The sequence below is a fragment of the Homo sapiens genome, chromosome 21, assembly GCF_000001405.40.
Source record: "Homo sapiens chromosome 21, GRCh38.p14 Primary Assembly".
Taxonomy (NCBI): domain Eukaryota; kingdom Metazoa; phylum Chordata; class Mammalia; order Primates; family Hominidae; genus Homo; species Homo sapiens.
The window spans coordinates 36,600,748-36,607,551 of NC_000021.9; the positions used below are offsets into that span (position 1 = coordinate 36,600,748).

Consider the following 6,804-nt stretch of genomic DNA (forward strand, 5'->3'; position numbering starts at 1 on the left):
CATGAGACTGGAGTTTAACACCAGCTTAAGGTGCTATTCATGGTTTCTGGGCCCAGCCTTGGAGGGTCACCGACTCAGCAACGTGTCTCCCACCTCCCTAAGGAGGGCTGGCCTACCCCTGCAACTCTCTCTTTGCCTACAGGGTTATCTCCTCCTTTCCCAGGCAGAGGGTAAAACCCGCAGAGATGCCCACAGACCTGGCCCACAGACCTGAAGTCCACTGTAGGGTGAAGAGAAGCTTGTTTTGGGATAGTTTATGACTGACTTTGCCTGGGAGGTGGCACCCAAGAGTCCCGTTTGCTGAGGAACCCCAGGTGGCTGGGATTAAAGGGCCACACATCTGTAAAATTTCTTGCAGGAGACATAACTCTGAGGACTCTCTGATGCCAGGGTGTCCCCTGGCAGCCCTGATGCCCTTCTTCTGATAATTCCCAGCTCCATCCCTGCATGTCCAGGCAAAGTCAGCCCCCAGCGCTGGCCTCAGGGCGGGGGCTTCCTCCCAACAGCACGGCTGGCGAGTCCCGGGAGGTCTGTTTTCAGCTTCCCTTCTCTCTGTTTCCGTGGGAAATGACCTGTCCTGTTTCTCTCTGTCTTGTGCTCCCAGGTAACTTGGAAGGCTGGGAGAATCCCTCATGTCTTTCCATTATGGGAGATGTCCTTCTTTATTGCCTACAACAGGGGTTGGCAAACTTTTTCTAGAAAGGGCCAGATGGGAAATCTTTTCGGCTTTGAGAGCCATTTGATCTCTGTTGCCACTGCTCAACCCCAATTGGATTGCAAAAGGGGCCGGGAGAACACATAAATGAAAGGGTGTGGCTAGATTCCAACACAACTCCATGCAATACAGACTGATGTCATGGACTTTAGAGACCCAGGAAGGGGAGGGAGGCCAGGGATAAAAAACTACACATTAGGTACAATGTACACTACTCAGGTGATGGGTACCCCAAAATCTCAGAATCACCATTTTGTTATAATAGAGCAAATTATATTATAACGTACTTATGATATAATCCATCCATGTAACAAAAAAAAAAAACACTCGTACCCCAAAAGGTATTGAAATTTTTTAAAAATTTAGGATCAACAAAATATTTTATATGTTCAGAACATGGTAAGGAGTGATAAAAAGCAAGTTTCAGAATAGCACGTATAGTAAATACATACATGTGATATGTAAAAAGTATGTGCTTACAACTGTTTGGCTCAATATGAAATGCATAGACATGCCTAGAGAGATGTCCTTCCAAATATTGTCAATAATCATCTTTAAACCAGGTGAGGTGGCTCATCCCTATAATCTCAGCATTTTGCGAGCCGAAGGCAGGAGGATTGCTTGAGGCCAGGAATTCAAGACCAGCCTGGTCAAGAGAGACCCTATCTCTACAAAAATTAAAAATAAACAAATAAATACAAATAATCATCTCTAAAAAACAAATCAAAAAATAAAACTTTTTGCAAATGGGTGGTGGGCTGGATTTGACCTACTGGTCATGGTTTGCCAGCTCCTAGCCTGTGAGGCTAAAGAATCTCACGCCTGTAATCCCAGCACTTTGGGAGGCGGAGGCGGGTGGATCATGAGGTCAGGAGTTCAAGACCAGCCTGACCAACACGGTGAAACCCCTTCTCTACTGAAAATACAAAAATTAGCCAGGCATGGTGGCACACGCCTGTAGTCTCAGCTACTTGGGAGGCTGAGGCAGGAGAATTGTTTGAACCTGGGAGGCAGAGGTTGCAGTGAGCCACGATCGCACCAGTGCACTCCGGCCTGGGCAACAGAGAGAGATTCTGTCTCAAAAAATAATAATAAAAAAGCTTTATATTGGGGGTCCCTGAAAAGCCACAGGGCTCCCCTTCCATTTTCCCCATCAGCTTGCCTGGGCGCTTCCTAAAGCCCGTGCCCCAAGGAAGGCAGCTGGCTTTTCTGACTTGCAGGTCACTGTGGCCTCCAAGTCTTAAATGCGGGTGAGACTGGCTGGCCTCCATTCCCTTCTAGTGCCTTGGAGCACACTGCTGCTCATTAAAACTCCAGAATCCCTCCCTGGAAATTTGTTCCTTTCTGATGTGCCGTTTACACAGCTCTCAGCAACTGGCACCGGTTCTGAGAATATTTTATGACTACCTTTTGCTGGGCAAATGCCAACCCTCTGAAGATGAAGAGAGGGGAAGTTCTGTTCATTTTGCTTCACGGAGAAGAACCATCTCTTGCCCGATGACTCTGGTGTCCTCCTGCATTCTGGTACATTCTTCAGTGGCACGAATAGGACCATTCCATGGCTAACGCCACTCACCAAAGCCTCCATCCCCTTTCAGATGGGAAGGAAACTGGGCATCCAGAATCTTGTTATGACACAGGCGATTCCAAACGAAAAGGGCCCCTCAGGTTTTATTAATGTATTTTCTGGCTGTTAGATAAAACAGCAGTGTTTTGGAGTCAAAGAAACATGAGGCCTCTTCCTAGATGATAGACTATGTTTTGAAGAATGAGTTTAGGTCTCCCTTTAGTTTATCCAATGAACAAGGTATGAAGTTGTTTTTCCCTCACAGCAAGGTTTCTTCAGAACAGGATTTGAAAGTGCCTGCAAGTGGCTGAGAGAGACCTTTCTCTGAGGTGAAGAGCAGATGAAACATTCACTAAACAGGCTGGGTTTCCTGAGTCTTGAAGGCAAACATGAAAAGTCTGTGAAGGATGCTTTCTAAAGACACATAAGAAAGGAGGGGAGGAGAGTGGGGAGAGGACAGGAAGCTGAGGCTGCAGCGAGGCAAGAGTTTGCGTCCCCATCTTGTGTTCTTTTGGATTTTTTTTTTTTGAGACAGGGTCTTCCTCTGTCACCTAGCCTGGTGCAGTGTTGCAATCTTGGCTCACTGCAGCCTTGACCTCTTGGGCTCAAGTGATCCTTCCACCTCAGCCTCCCAAGTAGCTGGGACTACAGGCATGCGTCACCACCCCACACCCGGCTAATTTGTGTGTGTGTGTGTGTGTGTGTGTAGATACAATATATATAATGTGTATATATAAATTTATGTATGTATATACATATAAATATGTATATATACATGTATATACATATAAATATGTATATATATACTCACATATCTATCTATACATATATATGCATATAGATACACACACACACAAACACACATTTTTTTTGTTTGGGTAGAGACAGGGTTTCTTCATGTTTCTTCTTGTTGCCCAAGCTGGTCTCAAACTCCTGGGCTCGAGCGATCTGTCCATCTCAGCCCCCCACAGTGCTGAGATTACAGGCATGAGCCACCACACCCAGGGGACCTCTTTTGATTTTTGAACACAGTACCTGGGCAAACTTTTTTTAAATTTAATTTTAAAATAGAATAAAATTATGTCATTTATTCATCTCTTAGAACTTGGCAAAATTTCCCACTCAGCTGGGTCACTTGGCCGTGTACTTGATCTTCCTTCCTCCTTTGCCCTGGCCAAGGAGGCTCCAGTCCTGACAATCCCCACAGCCCTTGAGGGGTGCCATAGTGGGGACTGGTGCCCCCAGCAGATGAGGTGGGTGCTCACCCTGGTTCTGAGACACTGCCTGGACCTCCAGTTACTGTGGGGGCTCTCACGATATTTTCGGAAACATTTGAGTCTTCTGACTTATTTTTTAAATGGCTTACATAGCACACCTAGAGGCTGGGAGAGTGCCACAGCAACTAGAGGTATCGGCAGTGACAGGTGAGTGACGGGGAGTCTCAGAACCCAGTTCAGAGTCTGGACTCCACCGCATCCTGGTGGTGCAGACTCAGGCGAGGAACTCAGGGAGTCCGAGCCTCAGCTTGCTCGCACGTAAAGTGAGGAAAGTTCACCTACTTTGCAGGGTGGTGAACACATGAGCACATGTATTAGAGCTCCCTTCGTAAAGTAGTTCATTAGCAATCAATGCAAACGGCGATGGCTGCCCTGGGAGGGAAGCCCCCGAAGGAAGGAGCAGGCCCTCAAAGGCCCCTCCAAGGTCTCCTGCCTCACTAGTCCGTCCAGGGCCTGTGTGGTCAATGGCTGGCCAGCTCACTCCACCTCCTCTCACTCCCAGGCCATCCCAGCATGGGGGGACAAATTCCCTCCCTCTCCCCTTCACACCGATGACTGGCAGGCCAAGTGCCCCCTCCCTTTGCCAACAGCACCCTGGACTGTTTCTCCCAGGTACCCACCTCTCTGCCTTTGCACATGGATTTGGCTACTGATGGAAGCCCTGTTACTACACCAATTGCTGGACCAGGAGGGAACCAAGCTGGACCACAGGGTCTCTGTCTTGGAAATTTGAATTTTGAGTGCTGGGACTTGAAGATGGAAAACGGTCCCTTCTCCTTGTCCCTCGCCTTCCACCCACCCCACACGTTTCAGTCACTCACCGTCCTTTTCCCACCCACAGGCAAGTCTGGGCCCCTCCTCTGAGAATGCCCCCACTTCTCTGGGCAGAAGTGCCCCCCCCCAACCTGATGCAGCCGCAGTTTGCCTTCTTGGGGTGCCAGCAGCTCTGACTTCTTAGGTGGCCGATGCCCTGTTGCGTCATGAAGCACTCACTGACATGCGTTGCTTCTTGTCAGTCTGCCTGTCTGTCTCCTGCTCTCTCTGTGCTCAGGGAGGAATAGGACTGTGTCCCAATTGTCTCCCTGTCCCAACCTTTAGGATATCATCTGGCTCATGGACCCTAAAAACTGTGTTCTGAAGGAGAAGAGTGTCATGAGATGGCCCATTTGCTCACAGGACAGCAGCGTTACAACCCCAAGACGCCATGGCCCCCATCCCCAAGCAGGGAGTCCCCAGATAGTGTTGTGAAGGAGTCAACCAGTTCCGGAGATGGAGGCTGAGCTACTGTGAGGTCAGTGGCCCCAGCTGGAGCCAGGCTGCTTAGATTGCAGCTGGAGAGCTGGTGGAGGGGAGTAGGAGGGACCCGAGTCTTCTGTAGAAAGAAGCCTCTTGTCCCGGGGAGTCAGGTTCCATGCATTCCTGATCCAATGTCCGGTGCTGGGCGCCAGAGGAAACAGGGATCCTGGGGGTCTGTCCTCATTCTAAGCCCCCAGAGCGAGGGGCTGTAGGAAAACTCACAGAGTTGCTCCCTGGGGCTCTGTGCCAATGTGGGCAAGAGGCACATGTTACCACTTATCTTGGGATAACTTCAAGGGTCAGAGGAGGGACCCAGCCTGGCTCCCGTCACCTTAGCACATGAGGGTCCTGGGGAAACCCCGGGGGCAGCTTCCAAATGTGCCTCCAAGATGATGCCTGGATGCGGGAGCCTGCCCTCAGGGCCACAGCCCAACCCTCCACCCTGCAGGATGCCCTGAGAGGCTCCTTCGCCTCCCCAGAGCCAGGAGGGGCTGGGTGGGTCTGGGGGGATCCCTTCACCCTCCTCTCACTCCCCAGTGCTTCGGGGCTTGCAGAGGTCCAGGTGATTCCGGCAGAAACTCAACCTCAGCAAACTGGAGCTCAAGGAAACAGAGGGGCTTTTGACCTAATTATTCCCAATTGCTTGTCTCCATCGATCACACTCTCTTGGTAATTGCCCAACTCCCCACTTTGGGGTGGGGGGTGTGTTTCTCAGGGGGCTGCATTCGCGTGGGATAAATGGGGTGTGGCGCTGAGAAACATGCAGGCCCTCGCTTTCCGCACACTGTGGCCTTTGTGGAGGAGTGTTTTGTTTACTGCCATTAAAATTCAGAGAGCACGACCAGGGAGCGTGCAGGGCCGTGGGAGGGACAAGGGCTGGCTCCTCAGGGAGAGGCCTGGGCTGATGTAAGCTGAGCGTGGGCCTGGCCCCGGGGGAGTCCCCACCATCTGGGCCCAGATCCCACTTACATGGTCACTGGTGTTTGCAAACCCTTGATTCTGTGCAGAAACCCATCCGTGGTTCCCTTTCTGACGTCCATCTCAGGGCCCTGGCCTCCTGGGCCCAGCATCCAGGGATCCTCCACACTCCCCTAGCTCCACACCTCCCACCTCACCTCACGCTATTCCCCCAAACTGCTTCCCTGCTCATTATTTCTGAAGGTGACCCTGAGAACGAGCACCTCAGCCCTTGGCCTGATCTTTGCCGGGGCCGGTGTCCCCCTGTGGATGCAGGGCTCTCTCTGGCCTCCAGGGGACCCACGCCTGCCTCCTCCCCTCCGAGCTCCTCCAGCACCAATGGTCTGCACCCCCTAATTGTGTCTGGAGGGCATCGGCTTCCCCTCATTTCTGTACCTGACTCCCCAGCCAGCCTGAGGACTCCCGGGGGGACTTTAGGCCCCAGCACTCAACGTCACGTCACACTGGGGCAGAGCTCAGTGTGCATCTGTTGGTTGATGACATTATCAGGCAGCAGGTGCATTCCAGTGCCATCTACCCCACAGGAATCCATTCCCTTTGAACGGCCAGGCCAGGCCTCCACTGTCCCCTCCCAGCCTGCCCATGTGGTTCCAATACTGTTGACACTTTGACTCTTGTGTGGCTCCCAGGCTGGTCTATGGAGAGGCTTCAGCCAGCTGCAACCACACCACTCCTGGTGTCCGAATCCTCTGTCCCAACAATTGCATGCACTATTGGCTCAAAAAAGCGTTTTGAATATCAAATGCAAACTCAATGGGTTGGGACTCATGGGAACATTTTCATCAAATGCTGGAGAACTTACGGACTCACCTTTCCTTTTCTCCACCTTTCTCCTACATTCACCAAAACATTGAACTGATTGGAGGTCCTGGCCATCTCACTCACTAATGGCAACCCCTCCCAAATGAGTGTCTCCATTCTGGTATGTGAGCCAGTGAGCTTCAATGAACCTCATAACTTCCATGTAATAA

The 6,804-nt window shown here is 51.0% G+C and overlaps 3 annotated features.

The window, feature by feature from the left end:
• Positions 1-501: an enhancer, noted in NCBI's record as "H3K4me1 hESC enhancer chr21:37973046-37973546 (GRCh37/hg19 assembly coordinates)". NCBI's record gives its function as "activates a minimal SCP1, AML or CMV promoter by ChIP-STARR-seq in primed H9 embryonic stem cells {active_cell/tissue: H9 hESC(primed)}" and the evidence as "EXISTENCE:reporter gene assay evidence [ECO:0000049][PMID:30033119]".
• Positions 502-1,002: an enhancer, noted in NCBI's record as "H3K4me1 hESC enhancer chr21:37973547-37974047 (GRCh37/hg19 assembly coordinates)". NCBI's record gives its function as "activates a minimal SCP1, AML or CMV promoter by ChIP-STARR-seq in primed H9 embryonic stem cells {active_cell/tissue: H9 hESC(primed)}" and the evidence as "EXISTENCE:reporter gene assay evidence [ECO:0000049][PMID:30033119]".
• Positions 5,944-6,444: an enhancer, noted in NCBI's record as "H3K4me1 hESC enhancer chr21:37978989-37979489 (GRCh37/hg19 assembly coordinates)". NCBI's record gives its function as "activates a minimal SCP1, AML or CMV promoter by ChIP-STARR-seq in naive H9 embryonic stem cells {active_cell/tissue: H9 hESC(naive)}" and the evidence as "EXISTENCE:reporter gene assay evidence [ECO:0000049][PMID:30033119]".